The following is a 27939-nucleotide window of genomic DNA, read 5'->3' on the forward strand; positions in this document are numbered from 1 at the left end:
GAGAAGGGGGAGGAGGAGGCATGTTAGAGGAGGCCTACCAGGGGACATGGGAGGTGGACTTGCCCTATAAGTGGAAGCTCACAATCTTGAGGACTAGGATGGTGACACCAGTCCTAGGCATTTAGACTATAGCTTTGCAGTAGGGAGCAGGAAAAGGTGGCCCTGTGCTGTGGTCTCTTTCCCAGGGCTGGGGCAAGGGCTACCCCAGACCTCTCCCCTGTGTATCCAGCTGCATGCTGGGGCGGTTGGGGGTGCTGGCCCATGGGCCAAGCTGGAGAAGGCAGGGAAGGTTTGATCCTCCTCATTCCTTGAAGTGGATCAAATACAAGAAGCCCAAATTCAAATTCCACCTACCCATGCCAGCTCCCCTTCCCTGGATATTACCACCAGCATTGAGCCAGAAGGCTAGGTGTCCTCAGCACCTTTCTTCCCCTAAGCTCTAGTGCTAATCGGTCACCAAGCCCTGGCACTTCTGCCACCATTTCTCTCATCTACCTTCTCCCCACTCCATGCTCTTGGTCCTGCCTCATCCCTGGAGGGCTGCCTCGGCACCCTGCCTGCTCTCTCAGACTCCATCCTCTCCTGTATTGCAGCTGTGTTGAGATCTGTGGTGCTGGTCACAGAGCCTGGCTGCAGTGAGGGCTCAATTGCTCCATGCTGGAACTGGACCAGTCCTCAGAGACCATCTGATCTGCTCATTCTGTTGTTCAAATGGGGAAACAGAGGCCCAGTGAGGCCTAGCGGCTTGTTTAAGGTCACGCTATGGAAGAAGTGACTTGAACTCACTTCTGATTCTGAGGTGAAGGCTCTTCCCATCAGTGCCAGGGCCACACAAGTGTTTCTTGTTTTGAGTGCAGATGGGTGGCTTGGAAGTCAGCAGGAGGCACAGGTGTGGTGACTTGATGGGCTCAGGGCCCAAAGGGAGGGAGGGCCTGGGAGTGGAAGATGGAACCTCATTCAAGCCCGTCTCTCCTTTCTTCTCACCAGAAACTCCCCCTTTCTTTGGACAACTGGACCCCCACACCTCCACCCTGTCCCCATCCCTTTTGCTGATAATCCCATCTCCTTGCCCTGTAAATGCTAGGGGGCCCTTGATTTGGGGAGGAAGGGAAGGCTGAAGCCGGTCCCGGCACCCTGAGAGCCCCAGGGCCCTCCAATGCCCCACTCCTTCTCCAGGTCTGCCCTGGCTTGCTCTGTCTCCCTAGGGCAGCTGGCTTTTGTCCCAGGGGAGCATGGGAACAGCTTGGGTGAGAATGGGGGAGGGGCTTCCCAGCAGGTTTCACCTCTCCCACCTGGCATAATTTCTACCCTGCACCCAGTGATGCCCAGGAGCCAGCACAAGAACCTCTGAGCTCTCCTGCCGGCTTTCCCCACTGTGGGGCCCACAGGATGGCTGGGTGTGCTGGGGAAACTGAGGGAGATGACTTGTGGGTGCCAGCACCATGGGACTTTGGGTGATCTTGGACCTATTCCTTCCTCCTTCTAGGTGCTTCCTGAGCTGGCGAAAAGGAGAGCTGGATGCTGGGATTCTATAAATTCGGCGGTGGATGTGAGTCTAGCTACAGCATGGACCCTGGCCAGCCCTGGAATCTGAGTTCAGAGATCTTTGAAAAAATGCCTTCCGATAACTGAGCACCTACTACATGCTGGACACTGCACCAGGAGATTTGTGTGCATTCCCTCATTGAATCTTACAACCACCCTCTGGGATGGTTTTTGCTATTAAGCCGATTTTATAGATGAGAATACTGAGGGCTAGAAAAGATAAGTACCTTGTCCAAGGTGACACGGCCAGTAAGCTGTGGAGTCTGGATTTGAACTAGGCTCTCTTGGAGTTTGGAGCCCGGTCTTTTCATTTCTGGCAGAGACCTGTGGCTTCAGGGGGCGGAGCCCAGCCCATGGGGGAAGTAAGTCCTTCCTGTTAGATCTGTCTGAGGAGTAGTGAGTTTCTCATCTAGGAAACCATCAGCAGGCCAGGCTGGACTGCCCCATTTCTAGCCCCCTTTCTTCTCTGCAGACTGCCCTGTTTCTAGCCCCTTTTCTTCTCTACCCTTTTCTGTAGAGTGCGTTAGACCCATTTTACAGAAGGGGACTCTGAGACCCTTTCTTCTCTGCGGGGCAGGGTATGTGGTTCAGACGAGCCGCTTCCATCCCCAGTTCTGTCCCTAAGCCCTGGGTGACCTCAGCATTGAGCATCGTCTCTGAGCCTCAGTTTCCTGTCTATATCTAGTGCCACCAGGCATCAGAAACGTAAGTGCTTCAAGGATCTTGGGTGAAAAGCCGCTTTAGCGGCGAGCATACACTAATTAATAAAATGCCTTGGCCGGGGCTGGGCAGAGGAAGTAAGCGGGCAGCCGAGGTGACAGCTGGAGGGAGGAGCGGGGGTGGAGCCGGGGGAAGGGTGGGGAGGGGATGGGCTGGAGCTCCGGGCAGTGTGCGAGGCGCACGCACAGGAGCCTGCACTCTGCGTCCCGCACCCCAGCAGCCGCGCCATGAGCCGTGAGTGCGACCCCGGTGCCCGGTGGGGAATTTTCTTGGCCTCCTGGTGGAGCCTTGAATGCCAGGCTCAGCCCCTCATCTCTCTCCTCTGCAGGGAGTCTCTTGCTCTGGTTCTTGCTGTTCCTGCTCCTGCTCCCGCCGCTCCCCGTCCTGCTCGCGGACCCAGGGGCGCCCACGCCAGGTAGGCGGCCCCATCCCTCCCCAAGGGAATCCCCGGTCTTGCGCCCCTGGCCTGGTTTCAACCCCCTCCTTTCCCCTCCAGCGGGCCCAGCTTCCCCTTTCTGCTCGCGGTGCTGAGAAAGACTGAGGCTGAGTCTTTTGGTGGGATGGGGGCTCCCTGAAGCCCCCCCGGCGGTGTGGCCTTGGCTAATGGGCTATCTAGTTCTTTCAGGGGAAACAGCAGACTGGGATCTGGTGCCAACTTGGGGAGAAGGGACAGTCCCTATCCATCCCCCTCACCTGTTCTGGGCCCCAGATGTCTAAGCAGCCTCTGCACCCAACAACCCCGCTGTTTCCTATAGGGGCCTCTTTGGGAGGAAGCCGCAGGCACCAAGGGAAATGAGTTCCCTTTCTCCAGCCTCTAACCGTCTGGGAACCCATCCTGATTCCCATTGCCAGTGGAGAAGGTCTCCCCTGGTGAAGACTTCGGGAGAACATGGGAGATGGAAATACATTTAGGAGCCGGGATGCTTCATCTGGGGTTTAAGAGATCCCCATTGAGCAAATGAGGAAACCGAGGCTCAGTAGGTGCCATGATTCCCCAAGCTCACAAAATACATGGTGGGCCCAGGATCTGAACTCAGGTCTGTCTGCGTCCACACACTTCGCAAGGTCTTTCCACAGAAAGCTGCTTCTACCCACAATGGACCCGGAGCCACTCTGGGTTTCATGGGGGAGGTTGATGGGGAAATTCCGCCCTTCCCTCCCCCATGCATGTGCCAGGTTCCAGGTGAAGGAATTCAGCTCCTCGCTCAGCCAACCTTCCTCCCCCAGCTCGCTGCTTGTGTGTGTGCGTGTGTGTGAGCATGTGTCCCAGTTGGATATAGTTTCCTCCACCACCTAGCTGTGTAAAATCTCTAAAATGAGGCCCAGAGAGGGCAGGAGGGAGCAGAGGGAGTCCGCACTTTCTGCTGTGATGCTCTAAGGATCTGGTGCGTGGGGGAAAGAGGAAAGATATGTACATGGATTTTGGATCAGACCAAGTTTCCTGAAACGGGCTTTGGGTGGGTGGCATTTAGGGGACCCAAAGAGAGGACGGAGGGTGCTCTAGGAAAGGGATTGCGTTGAATAAAAGTCTGGTTTATGGGAAGAGGAGGAGGAAGACTCATGTGGCCAGCACTTTAAAGTTTACAAAGGTTGGTTGTGGACATCCACCTCTTTGGTGCTCTCAACAGCCCTGCCAGAGAGATGCGTTAGACCCAGTCTACAGAAGGGGACTCTGAGGCCCAGAGGGAGTGAAGCCACTTGTCTGAATCCTCACAGTGAGCTGGTGGTGGGGAGTAGAAGGGGCTCTTCAGGTTGCCTCGCTGACCCATCTTGTCAGTCCCTGGATCAGCCCAGCACTTCCTCTGAGGCCCCATCTGGCCTCATCCAGGCACTCTTGGTATACAGGTCCCACCCGTCTGTATTCTTTTTTAGTCCATTCACTAATGCACAATGAGCCATGGTCTGTGCTATTTTGTTTTTTGCCTTTTCTGTTTCCTTTTGTATAATAAATGTTTACACGGAATTGTTTTTTTTTATCCCCAAGGGTTATTTATGCCAGTCTTTGGCTGGGGCCTGGAGACACGGAGCTGGGAGGAGCTGACAGGCTGATGGTGGAGCCAGAAATGCCAACAGACTGTCATCCAAGGGGACCAGGGCTGTGCGGAGCTCATGGGAGGAAGCAGGGGTATAGGGAGCCCAGGGAAGGGAGCAGGGGTGTGCGGAGCTCAGGGGAGGGAGCAGCTGCCTCTCAGTGCGAAGAATTGAGGGAGGCTTCTTGGATCTGATGACTTTTGGACTGGACCTCGAAGGAGGTGGCGGGTGGGGGAAACACTAAGAGACTCGACCAGGAAACACCGTAAGGGTAATGTGGAGCAGGAGGCTGAGGTTGGATGCGTAATGTGGGGATGAGACTGGAGGCCAGAAAACTGGTACCGAGGCTCCTGCAAGGATCTAGGAAAGAACGAATGACTGGTGGAGTGCAGGGGCAGAAGGTCTGGGTTGCCCTCATATTTCCAAGTCTGCGAGTAAACTGAGGGCCAAGCTACTTGGGCATCTGCCCCAGGAAGCCAAAGCCTGTCTTTTACCTCTAGAGGCAAAGGAGATGAAGAGATGAGGGCTGCACTCACCTAAGAGGGCAGGCGGAGGGAGAGAATGCTGCTTTTGCCTCTCTGGTGGGTGAGGAGATGGAGGCCAGCCTGGAGGCAAGGCTGTGCCGGGGGCGCCCTGAATGCTCAAGTACTTCCCCTCTAGTCTCTGGACTTGACTCAGTGCCCATCTTCTAGATGGGGATAGGGCATGACCTGGCAACCAGAGCTGCATGCCAGGCAGAGGAGCCCCAGGCCAGCTGACCCGGGCACATGGGGCAAGATGCCAGCTGTGCCAAGGCTGCCCGGGTGCCTGCACCTGCTCTCGCCAGCACCAGTTGGGTCTGTGGGCCGGGAGAGGGCTTCCCCACCAGCAGGCTCTTCCAGCTGCTGGGCCCAGTTGTCTGGATCTGGTGTGGTGGTGCTTAGGTGTGGGGACTGGGGCCCAGGCCAAACCAGTCAGGGTTCCCCACCTTTTTTTTTTTTCTCTCTGGCTGCCAGGTCCCCAGAGACTCTCTAAATATTACTCTTTAGGGGATTTGGGTCCTGCCTCTTCACTGGGCAATCTTGCAGCCTGACACCTCTGCATCCTGGAGGACTTGGTGTTCCCTGGCTGTGCCTGTCCCCTAGTCACGCTCAGTCCTGGACCTGGAGCCCTGACTTTTGGGCTAGGGGGTGTTCCTTGCCCAAACCCTTGGAAAGGTCCTGGAACCAGGCAGTTCTGGACAGTCCTCATCTGTGGGGATGGGGACTAGCAGCTTGGCCTTTGGGCTGCGTGTGTCTGGCATGCAGCGTGGTGTGCTGATCATCTCTGCCTCCGCGTGTCTTGGGGACTCAGTGAGAGCAAATGGGAAGGTTCTCTGCTGATGGGGCAGTTGTGGGAGGGTTGTATTGATACAAATAATGGAGAGGGACAGATTGGCTCTACCCAGAGTAGAGGGCCTGGACGTCGAAAGGAAGGCCTCCTTTAGCCCGCCTGCTAAACCCCCTTCATGGGATATACAGAAAAATGAGGCTCCAGAGGTGGGAGGGACTCACCCAAGAATGCACAGCCAGTAAGAGCAGCCACTCTCTAATACAGCTCTCCCAAGCAACTACTTGGTGCCTGGCCCTGTGCTGAGTATGGGGGACTCAAAGTGAATTAGACTTGGTACCTGCATCTCCTTGGTTTTCTTTCTTGATGAACAGGGGTGTCCTCCACTGAGCATAGAACTGAGTTGGCATGAAAACATGCAGGATTGAAGTTAGACCGAAGGAAGGCCTTCCTGTACGAATACTTCCTAAAGATCTGGTTGTGGCAGGAGATGGTGATCCCCCTGGGGTCCTGGTTTCATTCGTTCTGGATTTTCAAGGTTCACTTTGAAGGAATGTGACAAATCCAACTCAACTGGGTCATCCTCAGTCTGCATCAAAGCGACTCTCCCTTTCCATCCCTTCCCCAAATCCAGTCCTGGGTACCTCCAGGAGTAGGAGGAGGAGGGAGATTAAGTCTTGGCTCCGCAACTTCAAAGCAGTGGGGTCTGGGCAAGCCTCCTGCTTTCTCTGGGCCCTACATTCCTCATTATGCAATGGGGAGTCTCACCTACCTCTCTTAGGGAGTGCTGGGGAGATAAATGAGCGTGGGTGTGGAAGGTTGTGGACTTGGTCGGCTGGAGCCCTGGCTTTCTGGCTGGGCTGTGATGGTCAGGCTGTAGTCTAGTGGCACCCAGTCTCCTCTCCGCCCACCCTGACACCTTGGGGCACCAGCGGCAGGCCCACTGTTGTCCTTCCTGGGAGAACTTTTCCTGCCCCAGAGCAGTGGTGTTTATGGAAAGAACGTGGCGGGGGAGGCGGGAGGGGGGAAGCTGGATGGGCCGGACTGGGAGGGAGGAGCCTCAGCTCCCGCACAGCCTCTCTTGGCAGGGAGGGTGTGGGCAGCCGTTCCAGCTTCAGCGTCTGGAGCTTGTGGCTCTTCTGCCTGCCGAGGCAGAGCTCTAGGGCCATGGCGGGAGGCCTTCCGGCTCCACCTCAGACAGCTGTTGAGGGCCTGGAAGATGAGGGACTCCTTTTGGTCAGGCTGGAGGTGACCAATCTCCTCACTTCATTTTATTTATTCCACAAACATTCGTTAAGCTCTGGCTACCACATCTGGATCCCAGACCTGGTTAAGCCCCAACTGTGTGCATAGCCTGTGCTGGGGGAAGAGAAAGCCTTAAGGGAAGCGGGGGTCCCTTCTCCTGGAAGCTTATGGTGGAGAAGAGCAGGTTGAATTGGAACCCGGAGCCAGGGCAAGGGAGAGTGGGAGGAGGGAGTGTGGACATTTGGGGAAGACTTCTTGGGGAGGCAAGGCGTGGGCTCAGCTGATTTGGAGGAAATGTATTAAGGAGGCTAACAGCCTGGATGAAGGATGGAGATGCTGAGGGTTTGGGGCTAAGGGAGGGGCTGGCGCAGAATGTTGGAGCTGCACGGACCTCTGGAGTTCATTTTGAGATCCCTGCTGTGGCAGGGATGGGGAAATTGAGCCTAGGGGAGGCCTAACCCCTGTGCCCTTAGAGTGGTAGAACTAGACCGTGAGTCCTAGCGGACCTTGTGTGCCAGGGTTGGGAGCTGGGCAGTGGGTGCTACAGGGGCTCCTGGGCAGGTGAGAGAGCCAGGCCAGCAGGAGGGGCAAGAAGAAGAGTTCTAGCAGGGTGACAAGTCCTTTCTTGGGGGAACCAGACCTCTGAGCCAGCACGGGGGCTGCTCCAGAGGCTTCTTGGCCTTTCTGGGCCTGTGGCTGGGGGAGGCGGGGGCTGGGGTACTGCCAGGCCCTTTCCCTGGATCCTGCCTGCCAGGTTTGCCTGTGGCTGCCTGATAAAGCCTTTTTGTCCAGCCTTCTTCCCCTGACCCCTCCCTCCTACACCCCTGCTGGGGCCATTGTGGGGCTGTGGGGAGTTGCCAGGGCTTAAGCAAAACTATTTGCATGATTCTTGTGGTCCTTGCTTGTGTGTGTGTGTGTGTGTGTGTGTGTGTGTGTGTGTGTGTGTGTATTTGAGGTGGTGTTGCCGTCTTCGAAGTGGGGACCAAGAGGACTCTGCTGCCCAGGTCAAGCCCTGTGCTGTGAAGTGAGGAGTGAGGAGACTGAGACCAGGGCAGGGGATAGGGGGCAGGTCTTGCCCAGGGTCATGCTCTCTGATCCTAGCACCCTGAGATGACAGCATTTCACCCTCAGCTGCTCTGGCCTTTCACTACCCTTTTGACCTGCAATAACCAGTTGCACAAAGAATCCATATTCCCTGTAACGTTGGCTCTGAGCCCAGATAAGGAAGTATGTTTGCAGAAAGGAGCCCGGCGTTTTCTGTGTAAGGTCAGAGATGGAGCCTCCTGCCAGGCGCTAGGAGTTTTTGGTCTGCCCAGCTCTGTTCTGTTTCCTTGGCCAAGTTATCACCTGTCCCTGAACCTCAGTTTCCTTCACTGAACAGGGTGGTGGGGGTGATGGTGGATCCTACTGAACCTGAGGAGTCTGTAACTTTGCTGCTAAAGAATCACTGAGGCAGATTTAGCAAGGGGGTGGTGGTCTGAGGGATCTGGGTTAGATGCCAAGAGGGATTTCCTTATAGAGTTTCTCCAGGAGGCAGCAGGGCGGATGCCAGAGCTCCATGCACCCTCCCAGGAGATTTTCTAGCCCTATCTCTCCTATTCCCTTGGTCTGTGACCTTCTTCTGGATCCTAGAGCCCAGACCCCACCCTGATGTGGGCCAAGTCTGATTCCATCAGGAATGGGGGCTGAGGCAGCTGAGACCTTGGAGTCCCCCTCCTCCTGCACACCCACCCTCTGTCCCCAGGGTTCTGGAAAACTTCTTTCCTTAGACTTGGCTGCTGAGGCTGTGGGGGTGGAGTGGAAGTGAAGGGATGGGCATTTGGTCTGGTGAGACTTGTGGGGTGATAGGTCTGGCTTTCCCTTTTTCTGGCTTCAATTTCCCCATCTGCAATGTGGACATTATGATACCTGCTCTTCTCTACCTTCTGCAGAAATGGAGGAATGGTGAGGGATCTCGTTTTCCTAGTGTTCATGGGGTGGTGGTCTGGGAGAAGTCCCCGTCCTCGTCCTCGTCCCTTTTCTGACCGCCCCCCCACCCCCCGCCCCGGCCTGCTCTTGCTACTGAACTCTGACTAGGCAGGAAGTGAACGCTCTAGAAGCCCGTGGCTGAGGAGTTTTATCAGCTCTTTCTTAACTTTCAGTGTCACAGCCGGGGAATCTTCTCCTGCCGCCGTTTGGTGGCAATAGGGAGGGAGGGGGCGCTTCCCCTGGGGGCCTGATGTGGGCTAGGCTGGAGTTCCAGAGCAGGGCCTGGAAATGTCAGGATGGGTGGTTTATGTTCACAGAGGTGGGAACAGGGGTCCCCTTGGGGGAACCCTGAAGCCCTGGCACCCAGTGATTCAGGACGGAGCTGCGACTTAAGTCCATGCCTCTGGCCCCTCATTCCCCCATCAGGGGCTAGATGGGGGTCAGGAGGCCACCCTAGCATGGTCTCTGACCTCCATTTCTCACCCACAGTGAATCCCTGTTGTTACTATCCATGCCAGCACCAGGGCATCTGTGTCCGCTTCGGCCTTGACCGCTACCAGTGTGACTGCACCCGCACGGGCTATTCCGGCCCCAACTGCACCATCCGTGAGCTGGGCCTTCAGCCCTCACTCCTTCCGTCTTGAGCCCTTCTGCTCCCCGGGCCCTTTCTCCTAGACCCTAACTTCCTACCCTCCTCTCTGACCATGGCCCTGTTCTCCTTCCTTGCCTGGTTCTGCCCCTCTCCCTGACCTGGCTTCAGCATGAGCTCTCGCTCTTGGTCCACCCTCACTCCCTGCTTCTGAGTTCCATGGTGAGTCTTCACCACATGCCCTGGCCCCTGTCCTCACGCCCGGTTCTGTCTCTGTCATGTGTCATTGCTCCCAAGGTTCCATCCTTACCCACTTCCCCATAGGTGCTACTCTGTTCCACCCTGGCCCTTGTCCTCAGTGCCCCATCTTCCACCCTGGCTACTTCTGGTTCTGGTAGGAGGGACCAACTGAGTGACTGCCATTGCCCCTGCAGCTGGCCTGTGGACCTGGCTCCGGAATTCACTGCGGCCCAGCCCCTCTTTCACCCACTTCCTGCTCACTCACGGGCGCTGGTTCTGGGAGTTTGTCAATGCCACCTTCATCCGAGAGATGCTCATGCGCCTGGTACTCACAGGTGGGTGTGGGGCAGGGCCCCCTGACCTGGGGGAGCAAGCAAGCCTGCTAGTCCTTTTGGATTCTTGGCATCTGATAAGGGTAGTGGGTGGGGAGAGTCTATGATGCCTGATAAAATAAGCCCCAACCCAGGAGGAGGCAAGAACTGGGATGGAGCTGGGGGTGGAAACACCCTTGTCACCGTTATTTTTGCTCTCTGCAGTGCGCTCCAACCTTATCCCCAGTCCCCCCACCTACAACTCAGCACATGACTACATCAGCTGGGAGTCTTTCTCCAACGTGAGCTATTACACTCGTATTCTGCCCTCTGTGCCTAAAGATTGCCCCACACCCATGGGAACCAAAGGTAAAATGGGGTGAGGAGCTGGGCCTGGGGATTACAGGAGGTGCTCAGTTCTTCTCTTTGGGAAAAATCAGGCGAAGAACAATTATTGACCCAATTCTGCAGATGGCTAGACCAAGGCAAGACATATGACATGTCCAGAGCCTGGGCTGAGAACAGGCAAGGGCAGCAGAGGGTCTTGCCTGAGGTCACCTAGAGTCAGACCAATGTTTCCATAGTTCCAGGGTGCCTCTTTGCTTGATCCTTTTCTAATGATCAGTTGGGTCCTGCCGGGGTGGAAGTGACTTAGAAGTTGAGATGTAGGAAAGAATAGTGAGCTATTTATTGGGTGCTGTCTCTGTGTTTGGGTCTTTACAGATGTAAATAGTTTTACATGCTTCACCAGTGTAAGGTACAAATAAGCCACATTTTTTTCTTTCGTTACTCAAGACTTCACTTAGCCACACTGGCAGGGGTCTTCCTTGTAAGACCTTCCCATGCCACCTGTAATTATCCAAAAACCTGGGATATTATTCATTTCAGACCCATCAGTTCAGCATCAAGTACAGAGAGGACAAGAGAGGCTCATCAGTCCACTGCTGCTATACTCCAGTTCCTGCCACATGGTGGCACTGTTGAATGCCAGTCCTGTGCAGCCTCATGGTTATGTGCTTTTTTGGGTTCAAAACCTTGCACCATGTCCCTGCTTGGGTCTCAAGAGCACTACTGTGACGGTTTTCCATCATATGGTTAGCTGCTTTTCCCAAAGCATGACTATTCTACCAGGATAGCTGAGTCTTGCCAACTTTGCTGAAATCATGCTTGCCCAGTGTCAGTGAGTGATGATTCCAAATTACGGTTGACAGATCACTCCCTCTAACTTCCCTTTTGGTGGATTTTCTTTAGGGGTACTTGATATTTTTTCCTGCCAGAGGAACCCAGTCAGCCATCTTAATCCAAGTAATTTCCATTGATCTTGAACCTTCAACATCAGGGCTCACATCTTGATGCATTGTGAAGAGATGCCTTTACCAGAACTCAAAAAATTCTATTCCTTTCTGTGAGGGCAATTGGGTGACAACTCATTTGACACTGACATAATTAAGGAAGGCCTCTCAATACTTATTCTAAGGATGACTTGTCTTTATGCCAGACATAGAAAGATTGGCATCATTTAAAATAGGTTGACACACCTATTTTAAGGGGAGCAAGCAAGCCTGCTAGTCCTTTTGGACTCTTGGCATCTGATAAGGGTAGTGGGTGGGGAGAGTCTATGATGCCTGATAGGTGGTGGTGTGGTGGCACACGTCTGTAATCCCAGCACTTTGGGAGGTTGGGGTGGGTGGATTGCTTGAGCTCAGGAGTTCAAGTCCAACCTGGATGACATGGTGAGACACCTTGTCTACAAAAGAATACAAAAGTTAGCTGGGTGAAGTTGTGTGTGCCTGTAGTCCCAGCTACTCAGGAGGCTAAGGTGGGTGGATCAATTGAGCCCAGGAGGTCGAGGCTGTAGTGAGCCATAATTGCGGCACTGCACTCTGGCCTGGGCAATAGAGTGAGACCCTGTCTCAAAAATAAATAAATAAATAAATAAATAAATAAATAAATAAATAAATAGGTTGGCAAACTACAGCCTGCAGGCCAAATTCGGCCCACCTCTCCATTTTTGTAAATAAAGTTTTATTGGAACACAGCCACACACATTTGTTTATGTGTCATCTGTGACTGCTTTCCCGCTACAATAGCAAAAACTGAATAGATGTGACATGTCTGTATGGTCTGCAAAGCCTAAAATGTTTACTATCTGGCTTTTTCCAGAAAAAGCTTGCTGACCTATGATTTAAAAAATTCTACCCACTGGTTCTCTGCCATGCTTACATTATCTCTCGCAGTCCTCAGATTCACTGTATCAAATGGGTATCATTTGCCCCTTTTTAAAGATGGAGAAATTGACACCCAGAGAGATGAGATGATTTATCTGTATTCACACAGCTAGCAAATAGCATAGTCAGTTGCAAACACAGGCTACCTTGACTCAGGGCAAGGGAGTTCATGTTTGTTTTTTTCTGTTTCTTTATTTCTTTTTGGTGAAATGTTTCATTATGGAAAAATTGCAAAGATACACAAAAGTTGAGAGAAAAGCAGAATGAACTATGTACCCATCTTTCAGTTTCAACATTTACCCACAGTTTCTTCATCTTATTTCATTTCTCCCCTCTCATATTTTTATAAAGTATTTTAAATCAAATTCTAAAAATCATGCCACTTAAAATTCTAAAAATCATGCCACTTCACCCATAAATACTTCTAGGGTCTTTTGGTAGAGAGTGGGTTACTTGGTGGTGGTGGGGAGGTGGTCCTGAGGAGGCCACTCTGGGCTTCCTGCTTGGGCCAGTTTGCCTGGTGAGCCCAGATGTCCCCAGGGCAGCAAGATCCAGATAGGAGAAGCTACTGCTGTTTCCTACCCCCCAACCAGGGAAGAAGCAGTTGCCAGATGCCCAGCTCCTGGCCCGCCGCTTCCTGCTCAGGAGGAAGTTCATACCTGACCCCCAAGGCACCAACCTCATGTTTGCCTTCTTTGCACAACACTTCACCCACCAGTTCTTCAAAACTTCTGGCAAGATGGGTCCTGGCTTCACCAAGGCCTTGGGCCATGGGGTGAGTACCTAGGAGGGGCTCAGGACTGCTCTGGACCTAATTTGGCACGCGTATGTCATCGACAGTGGGCCGGCACCCTGGTGACCTGAGGGAACCCCTCTCTGTCCACAGGTAGACCTCGGCCACATTTATGGAGACAATCTGGAGCGTCAGTATCAACTGCGGCTCTTTAAGGATGGGAAACTCAAGTACCAGGTAGTGCTGGGCCAGGGGGTAGGGCAGAGGGAGGGGTCTCCCATGGTCTTCCCTGGCAAAGACTGCTTGGGGCGGGGGTCTGGGTCATGTCCTGAGAGGGCCAACCACGGGAGTGGGAAGCTTGTGCCAGGAGCGACAGTATACGCTGGGAGGAGGCAGCAGGTATGAGAAGCCAGGGAGGAGCAGACGTGGCCTCCCATGTCAGCCAGGGAGGTGGATTTTGGAGCTCAACAGGAGATGAACATTTGTAGTCTGCATTTATTTATTTAATTATTCCACAATATTAATTGGACACGAGAATATACCTGGCACAGGTGATTGAGTAGTGACCATTATAGTTAATGGGCCCTGCCCTCAAAAAACCACAGGCAAACTCTAGGATGTTCATTCTATGAGGGCTTTTGTTTAAATCAGAACGGTCCAACAGAAATATAATGTGAACCACATACATAGTTAAAATTTTCTAATGTCCATATTAAAAGAGGGAAAAAGAAACAGGTGAAATGATTTTAATAATACATTTTACTTAATGCAATATGTCCAGGTAATTAGCATTTTAGCATGTAATCAATACATTATTAATAAAATATGTCACATTCTTTTTTCATGCTGAAGCTTCAAAATCTGGTGTATATTTCACACTCACAGGGCATCTCAATTTGGATGCTCTATTTTCACTGGAGTGATCTAATCTGTATTAAGATTTCATAAAATGTACAGCTGAATAAGTAGAGTGACATGTCCGACTTGTTCCACGCATACTTAAAGGTTTTCCAATAGCTGAAGTATCAGTTTTAAAATTCAAATAGAAATTAAGATAAACCTAAATAAAATAAATTAAGTAACATTCAGTTCTTCATTCACACTAGCCAAATTTCTAGTGCTCAGTAGCTACACGTGGCTAGTGGCTACCATATTGGATCGTACAAATCTTAGGCAAGCACCAAAACAAAGTTTGATGCTGAATCTTTAGGGCTAAGAACAGTACTTGGCATGTAGTAGTCTCTTGGCATGTATTTACTGAATGAATGAAGAAGCTGCCATATAATTAGGTACACTTGTAGCTGCCACCAAGGAGAAGCTGTGAGTGCCACTAGAGTGTTTGGATGATGGGTAAAACTTCCCTAGGAAGTTACAAATAAACCCAGAGTTGCATAAAGGATGAGGAGGAGTTAGGGATGCTAAGAATGGGAGAGGGCTTTCCAGGTAGAGGGTTTAGCAAGTACAAAAGCTTAGAGGTGGAGAACAGCTTGGTGACTTGGAGGGAGTGTAAAAATGGGAGCGTTTGCTGAGCCTAGTGATGGAGCGTAAGAATGACTTTACAGGAAGGTGGAGATGTCTGTGGGGACCGTGTTAAGGAATTCTACTTTCTGCCAAGAGCAGAGAGAGTATTTGGAAAGGTTTTAAGTCAGCTCATGATGCAAGATTTGTTGTTTTTTTTTTTTTAAGTTTTTTTTTTCTTTTTTTTTTTTTTCTTTTTTGCTTGGGTGCAGTGCAGAGACTGGCCTGTCTGGGGATAGGAGTGGAAATAGGGAGCCCACTTAGGGAAAGGAGTCAGAGTGGAAGATGAGCGGGGGTTGCTTGAGGTAGTGGTGGTAGAGATGGAGAGCAGGGGACTGATTTTAAGAGACATTTTGGAGGTGGAATCAACAGCCTTGGCTGAGGGGAACTGGCAGCTGGAGGCAGGAGTGGGAGGGAGTTGGTTGTGGGCAGCTGTGGGTGACCCCCAACCCCAGGTTGCCAGGTGGCCCCATCCCACAGGTGCTGGATGGAGAAATGTACCCGCCCTCGGTAGAAGAGGCGCCTGTGTTGATGCACTACCCCCGAGGCATCCCGCCCCAGAGCCAGATGGCTGTGGGCCAGGAGGTGTTTGGGCTGCTTCCTGGGCTCATGCTGTATGCCACGCTCTGGCTACGTGAGCACAACCGTGTGTGTGACCTGCTGAAGGCTGAGCACCCCACCTGGGGCGATGAGCAGCTTTTCCAGACGACCCGCCTCATCCTCATAGGTGAGGACTCCAGACCTGCCCTGCCCTGGAAGGTCATTCCCTCCATCCTGAGAAGTTGGGGGCGGGGGGGTACTTAGAGGTGGAGGCTGGGATTAGAATCCTCACCCTTCTGCTTAGTGGCTAGAAGACCTTGAGCAGGCCCCTCAACCTCTGTGAGCCTCGGTCTCCAAATCTGTACGTTGGGGTGAACGATGATTGTAAGGATTTATTGAGATCATGAATGGGAAGGCAACTAGCACATAGCAGGCCTTCAGAAAATAGATGACTGTGATGGTTGATTATTAGCTGGGTGACTCAGCACATTTGATTAGCCACCCTGAGTCTCGGTTTCCCCTGTGTGCTGCGCCCGGATGCATACTTGTGGTCCCCAGCACGTGCAGGGTCAAACTGTAACTTGCCCGGCCTTCAGGAATCTTCATGTTCCCTTCCCTGCATGTATCTACCTTCCTGCAGTTTGGTAGCTTCTAGGTGACTCAGGGACAGGATATTTTTGTGTTCCCTATGGGGGCGAGTCTGCAACCTAAAATGTCAGATGGTTTCCTGCCTGGGAGCTTGGCCCCTGACATCCCTGTCCAGACCATGTTCGCTCTGAGTCACCAGTAACTCCCTTCCCCCACCTCTGGCACCACTGGGCATGGCTGGTCCCAATTATAGAGCCTAATTCACTGGAGCCATGAAGAGCCAGGCATTGGGAATAGGAACAGTCATTAGAGGGAAGAGGGGCTGGTTCTGAAGTTTCAGCGTTGCAAAGACCTTGACCTGAGAGAGCTGGAGGCTGTCCAGCACACTGGCTGGAGATGAAGCTGTGACCAAAGGCAGGACCCTAGGGCACCATTTAACTCCCCTACAACCTCATGAGCCGGGTATGATTACCCTGTGAAAATCAAGATTCAGAGAGGTGAAGTGAACTCTCCAGGGACACTCAGCAGATGGAGACTTGAGGTCTGGTTGCCACCAAAATCTATGCTACTTCCACTCCATCACAAAGGGGGCTCTTCTTGAATGGGAAGGGGTTGCAAACCTGAGTCTGATCTGTGACATGTGAGTATTGGAAAGGGATTCCCCCTCGCGTCTACACTTAGTATTCCTACTTTTGGCTGACATATATGGACACCCCGTCTTATGCCAGGCACTGTGCCAGCAGTTTTGCTGTATTCATTGTCTACTTCTCTCAACAACCCTAATATAGTATTGCATTGATGTTATTATTATTATTATTTGAGATGGAGTCTTGTTCTGTTGCCCACACAGTAGTGCAATGGCGTGATCTTGGCTCACTGCAACCTCTGCCTCCCGGGTTCGAGCAATTCTCGTGTCTCAGCCTCCCGAGTAGCTGGGATTACAGGTGCCCGCCACCATGCCTGGCTAATTTTTGTATTTTTAGTAGAGACAGGGTTTTGCCATGTTGGCCAGGATGATCTTGAACTGCTGACCTCAGGTGATCCACCCGCCTTGGCATCCCAAAGTTCTGGGTTTATAGGCATGAGCCACAGCGCCTGGCCGCACTGATATTATTATAACACACATTTTACAGTTAAGGAAAGTGAGATTCTGAGAGATTAAGTAACTCAGCCCAAGCTCAGGTGGCTGGAAATGGTAAAGCCAAGATTTGAATCCAGGTCTGCTGATCCCACAGTCTGTAGCTCCAGGTCGATTTCCAAAAGCCAATTTGTCTAATGGCTAATTGGCCTGCATATCAGTTTCTTTCAATATCTAGTTGCCCAGTTTTAATTTTGTTACAGAATGTTCAATTTGCATTTTCCCTGGCTTTTTGCTTTCTAGCTGGTTATAGCTACAAATGGGGCAGAGGAAAAACTTATTTATAAGAATCCTGTTATATAAGAACATATAGGAAATATGTTTTTTGAAATATATTTAGGGCTAGGCTCCCCTTCTGTCCTCAGTATTCTCTTTTGCCACTGCAGCAGCTCTGAGTGGTCTCCTTGAAGTCCCCCTCTATCACCGAGGGTGTCAGCATGATGACAGCTCTCACCAGTAAATCCTCCACTTTTCCATCTTTTGTAGTCTCTCCACCTTCTTTTAATGGGCTTCAGGAGGGAGGTCATAAGACCAATTCTTGGACACCTCCTTTGCATGTCCTGCTTAGCTGGGCCTAGAACCTCCCTCTGAAATGTGGGAGTAGCTGGTGCTCTTGTCTTGAGACCTCAGTCAAAATAGACCAAAAGTTCTATTTTCACATCCTGTTACAAAGAGACAAAATGGAAGAGGCCAAACAAAATTAAACATCAACAGCAAGGCCAGGTGTGGTGGCTCACACTTGCAATTCCAGGGCTTTTGGGAGGCTGAGGTGAGAGAAGTGCTTGAGACTTGCAGTTCAAGACCAGCCTGGATAACATAGTGAGACCCCATCTCTTAAAAAAAAAAAAAAAGAAAGAAAGAAAGCTGGGTGTGGTGGTACACCTGTGGTCCCAGCTACTTGGGAGGCTGAGGTGGGAGGATTGCTTGAGCCCGGGAAAGTTCAGGCTGAAGTGAGCTGTAATTATACCATTGCGCTCCAGCTTGGGTGACAGACCAAGACCTTGTCTGTAAAAATAAAAATAAACATCAACAGCAACAACAACAATAAAGAGACCAAAAGCAAGCACCTCTCATGAACTGGCCTGCTTTCCAAGCTGGGCATCTAAATCACTGTGCTTGGCTGACCCTATTTCCAATCCTGCCCTGCCCAGGGGAGACCATCAAGATTGTCATCGAGGAGTACGTGCAGCAGCTGAGTGGCTATTTCCTGCAGCTGAAATTTGACCCAGAGCTGCTGTTCGGTGTCCAGTTCCAATACCGCAACCGCATTGCCATGGAGTTCAACCATCTCTACCACTGGCACCCCCTCATGCCTGACTCCTTCAAGGTGGGCTCCCAGGAGTACAGCTACGAGCAGTTCTTGTTCAACACCTCCATGTTGGTGGACTATGGGGTTGAGGCCCTGGTGGATGCCTTCTCTCGCCAGATTGCTGGCCGGGTAAGCCCCAGAGGAGTGCTGGTGAGGGCAGGTGGGCTGAGGGATCCAGCAGACCTGGGTCCAAATTCCAGGTTCTTCTTCTGTAAAATGGGGCTGATGTCACTTCTACAGGGCAGTTGTAAGCATTCCTGTGTGAGTTCATTGGTTCATTTGTCCATTCCACAATACCAGACATTACTCCAGGTACTGGAGATGTAGTGGGAACAAGACTTTTGTGGTTCTTGGCTCATCTTTTAGTGCTCCCACCCTAGAAAGTGATGGCAGTCATACGACAGCTGACAGCATTAGGGCCCTTACTGCGTGTCAGGCACTGTTCTAAGAGCTTCTCCTATGTTATCAGAATTCTAAGAGTATGTTATAAACCATAGTAGAAAAGCCCACCATGCTCTGGGAGTCAGGAAGGGACATCTGACCCAGAGTTGCGGGTTATGGGAAAAGAAGGGATGTCCAAGCAGAAATTGGAAGGAGGGATAGAGATTTCCCAGGGTAAGAGGTGGTGTTAGTGGCAGGGGATGGCTGTGTTCCAGATAGAGAGGACGGCATGGGTGAAAGGCATGGAAGTCAGAGGACATGGCAGTTTGAGGAACAGAAGGACATTCAGGGCATGGTAATGTATGTAACAGTGCCCGCCTATGGTGTTTATTAAATCATAAGCCTCCGCTCTGGGCTGAATTGTGGCTCTTTTAAAGTTCGTATGTTGAAATCCTAACCGCCAGAACCTTAGTATGTGACTGCATTTGGAGACAAGGTCTTTAAAGAGGTAATTAAGTTTAATTGAGGTCATTAGGCTGGGCCCTAATCCAGTGTGACTTATAAGAAGAAGAGATTAGGTCACACACACAGAGGGAAGGCCACATGAAGATGTAGGGAGAAGAAAGCCATCTACAAGCCAAGGAAAGAGGCCTCAGGAGATACCAACCCTGCTGACACCTTGATCTTGAACCTCTGGTCTCCAGACAGAGGAAATAATTTCTATTGTTTGAGCCACTCATTCTGTGGTACATTGTCATGGCAGCCCTAGCAAACAAACACATTCTCTTTCCCTGGAATTCCCAGCCAACGCCTTCCTCAATCTCCCCTTCTCCACATTCGGAAGCTCCCATCTGCTTCATCGCAGTCTCTGGCTCCCCTGTTGCCTCACAGTCCTCTGCTTCTCTCTAATCCTTGTCCCTAAACCCTGTCATGAAGCTGTGGCACACATGGATTTCCATTTCCTTCTGGTAATTTGACTGAAATTAGCATTTGCTGCCCCGGTGGGCAGCTGCTGGCTGCTTTATGGCCTCTTTGTCGGTTTCTTTATGGTTCTTTGTGGGGACACAAGACATGAACAGAGACAATAGCCTTTGTGTGAGGCTGGATGGTTTTCAGAACGTTTTCAAGGAATGACCATGATGATGTACGTGAAAAGCCCCGGCGTCGTACCTGGCACAAGGCAGAAAGGCCGCAGAGATGTATGGACTGTCAAGATTTTTTTTCTTTTTTCTTTTTTTTTAAATAGAGATGGGGTTTTGCCATATTGCCCAGGCTGGTCTTGAACTCCTGGGCTCAAGCGATCTGCCCGCCTAGGCCTCTCAAGGTGCTGGGATTATAGGCGACTCTCAGGATATTAAGAAGAGTGAGTGATGATAAGACAGGGCTTCCCCTGATAACCATTGTCCATGGCTACCCTCTCAGGGGTTCCCATGTGACCAATACTGAGATAACAGCTTTGCATAGTTTATCCCATTTAAATTGACCACAGCCATATCAGGTAGATGCTCTTCCCTTCCCCATTTTTACATATGCGGGAACTCAAACTTAGCTTGAATAGCTGCCCAAGGTCCCTATATTAGTTTCCTCAGGCTGCTGCAACAAAGTACCACAAACTGGGAAGCTCAGAGCAACAGATGGAGGCTAGAAGTCTGAATTCAAGGTGTCAGCAGTGCCATGTTCTCTCTCAAGGCTCTATGCCTCCTTGGCATCTGGTGGTGGCCGACAGTCCCTGGCATTCCTCAGCTTGCAGAGGCATCGCTCTAGTCTCTGCCTTTATCATCCTGTGGTGCTCTCCCTGAACTTGTCTTTCCTCATTTTATAAAGACACCAGTTATTGGATTGGAGCCCACCCTAATCCAGTAGGATCTCATCTTAACTTGATTACTTTTGCAAAGACTTCATTTCCAAATAAGGATGCATTCACGGATGCAGAGAGTTAGGGCTTCAACACATATTTAATATTTTAGGGAACACAATTCAACCCTCAACAGCCCCACAGCTTGTAAAGCTGTAATTGGCACCATCCTCTGCTTGCTTTGCTCATATTATTTCATCCAACCATGCCTTTCTTTTTTGCCCAATTATAGTTGTTGATCAAAATGACTATCTCTTAAGCATGAACGTTATTATTTCATCCTAAGCACCAGAGCTTTCTTTTCTTTCCTTTTTTTTTTTTTTTTTTTTGAGATACAATCTTGCTCTCTTGCCTGGGCTGGAGTGCAGTGGTGTGATTTTGGCTCACTGTAACCTCTATCTCCTGGGTTCAAGTGATTCACCTGCCTCAGTCTCCCAAATAGCTGGGATTACTGGCACCTGCCACCACGCCCAGCTAATTTTTGTATTTTTAGTAGAGACGAGTCTTTGCCATGTTGGCCAGGCTGGTCTTGAACTCCTGGCCTCAAGTGATCCACCCGCCTCGGCCTCCTAAGGTGCTGGGATTACAGGCACAAGCCACTGTGCCTGGTCAGCACCAGAGCTTTCTTTAGACTAATGCGCCTTAACTGTTAGTAATCAGAATCTTTTTCTGCAGCTTTTTTATCTTGCCAGGTTACCTGGGCTTTGAGTTCTATTTTCCCTCCCTTCACAGGGGGTTACACTACCTCTTGGTGTAATTCAACGGTCTGGGGAGCAGTGTGAGCCACAAAAGAGGTCCTCTTGGCCCATTCCACACTTCAAAGATGAGGAAGCTGCCGGATGTGGTGGTTCATGCCTGTAATCCCGGCAGTTTGGGAGGCTGTGGTGGGAGGATCATTTGAGACCAGGAGTTTGAGACCAGCCTGGGCAATATAGTGAGACCTCACCTCTACAAAAATAAAATAAAACAAAATTAGCCAGGCATGGTGGCACGTGTCTGTAGTCCTAGCTACTTGAGAAGCTGAGGTGGGAGGATTGCTTGAGCCTGAGGAAGTTGAGGCTACACTGAGTCAAGATCATGCCACTGCACTCCAGCCAGGGCAACAGAGTGAGACAGTGTCTAAAAAAAAACCCACAAAAAAAAAATGAGGAAGCTGAGACTCAGAGGGGCTTCCTGAGAGAGCATGACAGCAGCAGGCCCGGGGCAGGTCTGCAGCATCACAACTGCTAGGCTGCCCAACACTCTCCATCCTAGCTCAGAAGGGACTCCCACTGGAAGCTCTTGTCCCAGGAACTTACCCAGGCTCCAGGACAGCCTGGCCTGGCTCCCAGACCACTGCTGTGCTTCTCTCTCGGCAGATCGGTGGGGGCAGGAACATGGACCACCACATCCTGCATGTGGCTGTGGATGTCATCAGGGAGTCTCGGGAGATGCGGCTGCAGCCCTTCAATGAGTACCGCAAGAGGTTTGGCATGAAACCCTACACCTCCTTCCAGGAGCTCGTAGGTGAGCAGCTGTTTCCTGGATGCAGTCCCTGCCCTTGAGGGACTGGCAGCAAAGTCAGGGAGACATCAAGGAAATAGAACGGGACAATACATGCGGCAATGTGTAACAACCAGACTTATAATGGGCGTGGAAGTGCTGTGCCAGGGTGGTAAATAAGCCTGCTTGGGGAGAGAAGGTGACTTTTCAGCTGGGTTTGGAGAACAAATGGCATTTTCAGTGGGAGAAGAGAGGGAGGAGTGTTTTAGGCAGAGCAATAGAAAGTACAAAGGCTGCCGGGCAAGGTGGCTCGCGCCTGTAATCCTAGCACTTTGGGAGGCTCAGGCGGGTGGATCACGAGGTCAGGAAATCGAGACCATCCTGGCTAACACGATGAAACCCCGTCTCTACTAAAAATACAAAAAATTAGCCGGGCATGGAGGCAGGCGCCTGTAGTCCCAGCTACTCGGGAGGCTGAGGCAGGAGAATGGTGTGAACCTGGGAGGCAGAGCTTGCAGTGAGCTGAGATTGCGCCACTGCACTCCAGCCTGGGCGACAGAGCGAGACACCATCTCAAAAAAAAGAAAGTACAAAGGCATAGAGGTCAGACAGCAGGTATCTAGGGAAACAGTCATAGATGTGGCTGGGGCAAGGAGCTTATGTTGTGGGAATGATTAGTGATGGGAGGTTGGGGCCAAACCGTGTAGAATCTTGGTTTTCATACTAAATATTTTGAGTTTTATTTGGTCTAGTGCTTTCTAAGTACCCACTTACGGGCCAGCTGCATAAAAATCATTTAGAAAGCTGATTAAGATACCAAATCTCAGATGCCTCTCCTACGGATTCTGATTCAACCAGCCTGGGTGGTGCCCAAGAATCTGCGTATTCATATGAATAAAGTATATATACATATATATGAATATATATATGAATAGAGTATATATACATATATATCAATATATACATATACATATCAATACATATATACATATACACACACATATATATGTGTGTGTATATATATACTATATATATACATATATATATATACATATATATATATACATATATATATACATATATATATACATATATATATATATATACATATATATATATATATATTTCCCCCAATATCCTCAGATGTTGGGCAGCCAAGTTTCCAGCCCTTGTCACATACAATGGGGAGCCACTGAAGCAGGTGTGACATGGCCCATGAGAGTTCCCAGTGGAGGATGGATTTGAGGAACTGGGCAGGGAAGCAGGGAAGCTCCATATTTGTCTCCCCTTGGCCACATGAACATGTGGATATTGCAGAGTGGAGCAGATTCTGTGCATGAGCTCCTTGTGATCCTGGAACAGCATCTTATTCTTTACTCTCCCATGACAAATGGTCCCCGGGGGCAGAAGGAACACTGCCACTGAATTTCTGTGTGAGCTCGGACATGTTACATCTTTGAGCTCTAGTAGTAAAAGGGCTTGGCCCAGGCTAAGGTCTTGAAATCTGTCTGTGAAGGAAGCCAGATGGGGAGCATTCTCCCTTCTGTGATGATCAGGTAATTAGGGCCCAGAGTTGCTCAAGGTTATAGGCTGTTTGGTGGCAGATCTAGGCCCCTGACTTTCTCTTTAGTAGCATTTTCCTTCCCTAGACCCAGTCCCTGAGGAGGGGCAATTTGTGCTTTTCCTCTTGACCCTTTTCCCCAGTGCCAACCATGCCAAATTCTAGGGCACATGCTCAGTTGCTCAAGTTAGTCTCCTGGAGTCCCTATTATCCCCAGAAAAAGGTGGACCTGGAAGGGTCCCGCCCCAGGTTGACCTTAATGGCATCATGGATCTGATGCTAGCATTTCCCCTTATCTCCTTGTAGGAGAGAAGGAGATGGCAGCAGAGTTGGAGGAATTGTATGGAGACATTGATGCGTTGGAGTTCTACCCTGGACTGCTTCTTGAAAAGTGCCATCCAAACTCTATCTTTGGGGAGAGTATGATAGAGATTGGGGCTCCCTTTTCCCTCAAGGGTCTCCTAGGGAATCCCATCTGTTCTCCGGAGTACTGGAAGCCGAGCACATTTGGCGGCGAGGTGGGCTTTAACATTGTCAAGACGGCCACACTGAAGAAGCTGGTCTGCCTCAACACCAAGACCTGTCCCTACGTTTCCTTCCGTGTGCCGGATGCCAGTCAGGATGATGGGCCTGCTGTGGAGCGACCATCCACAGAGCTCTGAGGGGCAGGAAAGCAGCATTCTGGAGGGGAGAGCTTTGTGCTTGTCATTCCAGAGTGCTGAGGCCAGGGCTGATGGTCTTAAATGCTCATTTTCTGGTTTGGCATGGTGAGTGTTGGGGTTGACATTTAGAACTTTAAGTCTCACCCATTATCTGGAATATTGTGATTCTGTTTATTCTTCCAGAATGCTGAACTCCTTGTTAGCCCTTCAGATTGTTAGGAGTGGTTCTCATTTGGTCTGCCAGAATACTGGGTTCTTAGTTGACAACCTAGAATGTCAGATTTCTGGTTGATTTGTAACACAGTCATTCTAGGATGTGGAGCTACTGATGAAATCTGCTAGAAAGTTAGGGGGTTCTTATTTTGCATTCCAGAATCTTGACTTTCTGATTGGTGATTCAAAGTGTTGTGTTCCTGGCTGATGATCCAGAACAGTGGCTCGTATCCCAAATCTGTCAGCATCTGGCTGTCTAGAATGTGGATTTGATTCATTTTCCTGTTCAGTGAGATATCATAGAGACGGAGATCCTAAGGTCCAACAAGAATGCATTCCCTGAATCTGTGCCTGCACTGAGAGGGCAAGGAAGTGGGGTGTTCTTCTTGGGACCCCCACTAAGACCCTGGTCTGAGGATGTAGAGAGAACAGGTGGGCTGTATTCACGCCATTGGTTGGAAGCTACCAGAGCTCTATCCCCATCCAGGTCTTGACTCATGGCAGCTGTTTCTCATGAAGCTAATAAAATTCGCTTTCTAAAGTTACCTGTTATATATCTCTTTTGGTCCCATCCTCTAAAGCAGAGGCAACACTGGAACATGGCTAGCCTTTCTTGTAGCCATGGCTGGGCGTGCTAGAGGTTGCAGCATGAGACTTTCTGCTGGGATCCTTGGGCCCATCACTGTATAGACATGCTACCACTGGTACTTCCTTTCTCCCTGCGGGCCAGGCACTGCCCTTTTCAGGAAGCTCTCTTAAAATACCCATTGCCCCAGACCTGGAAGATATAACATTCAGTTCCCACCATCTGATTAAAACAACTTCCTCCCTTACAGAGCATACAACAGAGGGGGCACCCGGGGAGGAGAGCACATACTGTGTTCCAATTTCACGCTTTTAATTCTCATTTGTTCTCACACCAACAGTGTGAAGTGCGTGGTATAATCTCCATTTCAAAACCAAGGAAGCAGCCTCAGAGTGGTCGAGTGACACACCTCACGCAGGCTGAGTCCAGAGCTTGTGCTCCTCTTGATTCCTGGTTTGACTCAGTTCCAGGCCTGATCTTGCCTGTCTGGCTCAGGGTCAAAGACAGAATGGTGGAGTGTAGCCTCCACCTGATATTCAGGCTACTCATTCAGTCCCAAATATGTATTTTCCTAAGTGTTTACTATGTGCCAGTTCCTGTAACAGGTGTGGGGACACAGCAGTGAGTAATCAATACAGACAAGGTTCTGCCCTTATGGAGCTCACACTCCAGTGGCAGACAAACAGACCATAAATAAGGAAACGATGAAATAAGATATATACAAGGTGAGTGTGACTTCCCTTCTAACCCCCTCTGCTCTGTCCTCCCCTATTGCGCTCTCAAGACCAGAGACCCAACAGCAGTGATCTCAGGGCAGACAGCCCTCCACTCCAGCTCTGAGACCCTTTTCTCAGGACCTCTGTAGGCAGCAGAGAGAGAGGACAGAGGGGTAAGATGAGGGGTTGAGGGAAGGTTCTTCATGATCCACACTTTGGGCTTAGTATTTCTCAGGAAGAGCTATGGCCCAGAAACAACAGGGGAAACTAGAGTTCGGTCTGACAGTCCTTGGGGTTAAGTCTCCTGTCTTATGGTCCAGAAACTCCTGTTTCTCCTTAGTTGGCTGGAAACTGCTCCCATCATTCCTTCTGGCCTCTGCTGAATGCAGGGAATGCAATCCTTCCCTGCTCTTGCAGTTGCTCTGACGTAGAAAGATCCTTCGGGTGCTGGAAGTCTCCATGAAGAGCTTGTGTCCTGTCCTTTCTTGCAGATTCTATTTCCCCTCTTCTGCTAATACCTCTTACTTTGCTTGAGAATCCTCTCCTTTCTTATTAATTTCAGTCTTGGTGGTTCTATCAGGGGTGCATTCTGGCCAAGGGGTGGGCCTGTGAATCAATCCTGGGCAATCAGACACCCTCTCCTTAAAAACTGGCCCGTGGAGACTGAGATCACTGACTCTGACTCATCCCCACAGCTGGCTCTGACAAGATGGTCCATTTGTTCCTGCTTCCGAGATCCCCAGGGCAGCCTGGATCCCTGCCCTTCTCAAGACTTTAGCTTTTCCTTCCATCCGGTGGCCTATTCCAGGAATTCCTCTTTTGCTTAAATCAGTTGGAGTTTGTGTCTGTTGCTTGTAATCAAGCCTTTATGGCTGCTGGGCTGAGTGACACAAGCACTTTAATGGCCTGGAGGGACTTTTAATCAGTGAAGATGCAATCAGACAAGTGTTTTGGAAAGAGCACCCTCGAGAAGGGTGGATGACAGGGCAGAGCAGGAAGGACAGGAAGCTGGCAGAACGGAGGAGGCTGCAGCCGTGGTCCAACCAGGAGCTGATGGCAGCTGGGGCTAGGGGAAGGGCTTTGAGGGTGGAAGGATGGGATGGGTTCCAGAGGTATTCCTCTCTTAAATGCAAGTGCCTAGATTAGGTAGACTTTGCTTAGTATTGACAACTGCACATGAAAGTTTTGCAAAGGGAAACAGGCTAAATGCACCAAGAAAGCTTCTTCAGAGTGAAGAATCTTAATGCTTGTAATTTAAACATTTGTTCCTGGAGTTTTGATTTGGTGGATGTGATGGTTGGTTTTATTTGTCAGTTTGGTTGGGCTATAGCACACAGTTATTTAATCAAACAGTAATCTAGGTGTGGCTGTGAAGGTATTTTGTAGATGTGATTAACATCTACAATCAGTTGACTTTAAGTGAAAGAGATTACTTAAATAATTTGGGTGAGCTGCACCTGATTAGTTGAAAGGCCTCAAGAACAAACACTGCAGTTTCCTGGAAAAGAAGAAACTTTGCCTCAAGACTATAGCCATCGACTCCTGCCTGAGTTTCCAGCCTGCTAGTCTGCCCTATGGATTTGAAGTTTGCCAACCCCAACAATTGTGTGAATTAATTTCTAAAAATAAAGCTATATACAGCCATCCTTTGGTATTTGTGGGGGATTTGTTTCAGGATCTCTACAGATACCAAAATCTGTGGTTCCTCAAGTCCTTTATATGAAGTGGTATAGTATTTGCATATAACCTATGTGCAATCTCCTGTATAACTTCAATCATCTCTAGATTACTTATAATACCTAATACAGTGTAAATGCTAGTTGTTATACTGTATTTTTTCTTTGTATTATTTTTATTGTATTTGAATATTTTGATCTGCATTTGGTTGAATTCACAGATATGGAACCCATGGATATGGAGGATATGTGCACATATATTCAGGACTGAATATATATATTATACATATATATACACACAGAACTGAATATATATATATATATATACACACACACGACTGAATATATATATATATATATATATATATACACACAGGACTGAATATATATATATATATACACAGGACTGAATATATATATATATATACAAGACTGAATATATATATACATATACAAGACTATATATATATATTCAAGACTGACTATATATATATTCAAGGCTGACTATATATATTCAAGACTGACTATATATATATTCAAGACTGACTATATATATATATTCAAGACTGACTCTCTCTCTATATATTCAAGACTGAATATATATATATATATATATTTCTATCTCTCTAATAATACAAGAACAGAAAACCAAATACTGCATGTTCTCACTTATGCGTGGGAGATGAATGATGAGAATACGTGGACATATGGTGGGGAACAACACATGCTGAGGCCTGTCGGAGGGTGGGAGGTGGGCCATCAGGAAGAATAGCTAATGTTAATACCTAGCTGATGG

The 27939-nt window shown here is 49.8% G+C and overlaps 1 protein-coding gene across 7 annotated transcripts, besides 4 other annotated features; it reads left to right on the top strand.

The window, feature by feature from the left end:
- PTGS1 (prostaglandin-endoperoxide synthase 1) lies at positions 1941-27111 on the top strand. 7 transcript variants are annotated; one of them, NM_001271368.2, is made up of 12 exons: positions 1941-2250; positions 2594-2680; positions 3021-3242; positions 9307-9423; positions 9841-9981; positions 10183-10326; positions 12779-12960; positions 13072-13155; positions 14917-15163; positions 17854-18029; positions 21606-21753; positions 23597-27111. In NM_001271368.2, exons 3-12 carry the CDS (start codon positions 3224-3226, stop codon positions 23950-23952), a joined length of 1614 nt encoding a protein of 537 aa, NP_001258297.1. In that variant the 5' UTR covers positions 1941-2250; positions 2594-2680; positions 3021-3223; the 3' UTR covers positions 23953-27111. The 7 variants fall into 7 exon arrangements, with proteins under 7 accessions (NP_001258297.1, NP_001258095.1, NP_000953.2 ...); NM_001271166.2 differs by lacking the exon at positions 3021-3242; NM_000962.4 differs by lacking the exons at positions 1941-2250; positions 3021-3242 and adding an exon at positions 2432-2499 and having other exon boundaries at positions 17854-18140.
- Positions 7110-8077: an enhancer, noted in NCBI's record as "H3K4me1 hESC enhancer chr9:125137981-125138948 (GRCh37/hg19 assembly coordinates)". NCBI's record gives its function as "activates a minimal SCP1, AML or CMV promoter by ChIP-STARR-seq in naive H9 embryonic stem cells {active_cell/tissue: H9 hESC(naive)}" and the evidence as "EXISTENCE:reporter gene assay evidence [ECO:0000049][PMID:30033119]".
- Positions 7522-7641: an enhancer, noted in NCBI's record as "active region_28928". NCBI's record gives its function as "activates an Ori minimal core promoter by ATAC-STARR-seq in GM12878 lymphoblastoid cells {active_cell/tissue: GM12878}" and the evidence as "EXISTENCE:reporter gene assay evidence [ECO:0000049][PMID:35858748]".
- Positions 14944-16143: an enhancer, noted in NCBI's record as "P300/CBP strongly-dependent group 1 enhancer chr9:125145815-125147014 (GRCh37/hg19 assembly coordinates)". NCBI's record gives its function as "activates an origin of replication core promoter dependent on BRD2, BRD4, P300/CBP, MED14 and CDK7 cofactors, with strong dependence on P300/CBP, by STARR-seq in HCT116 cells {active_cell/tissue: HCT116}" and the evidence as "EXISTENCE:reporter gene assay evidence [ECO:0000049][PMID:35650434]".
- Positions 15020-15519: an enhancer, noted in NCBI's record as "H3K4me1 hESC enhancer chr9:125145891-125146390 (GRCh37/hg19 assembly coordinates)". NCBI's record gives its function as "activates a minimal SCP1, AML or CMV promoter by ChIP-STARR-seq in naive H9 embryonic stem cells {active_cell/tissue: H9 hESC(naive)}" and the evidence as "EXISTENCE:reporter gene assay evidence [ECO:0000049][PMID:30033119]".

The sequence above is a fragment of the Homo sapiens genome, chromosome 9 (genome assembly GCF_000001405.40).
Source record: "Homo sapiens chromosome 9, GRCh38.p14 Primary Assembly".
NCBI lineage: Eukaryota > Metazoa > Chordata > Mammalia > Primates > Hominidae > Homo > Homo sapiens.

Coding starts and splice junctions, on each gene's coding strand:
- PTGS1 (NM_000962.4), top strand. Junction 9,424..9,840: donor CGGCCCCAACTGCACCATCC/GTGAGCTGGGCC, acceptor TTGCCCCTGCAG/CTGGCCTGTGGACCTGGCTC. Junction 15,164..17,853: donor GACCCGCCTCATCCTCATAG/GTGAGGACTCCA, acceptor TGCCCTGCCCAG/GGGAGACCATCAAGATTGTC.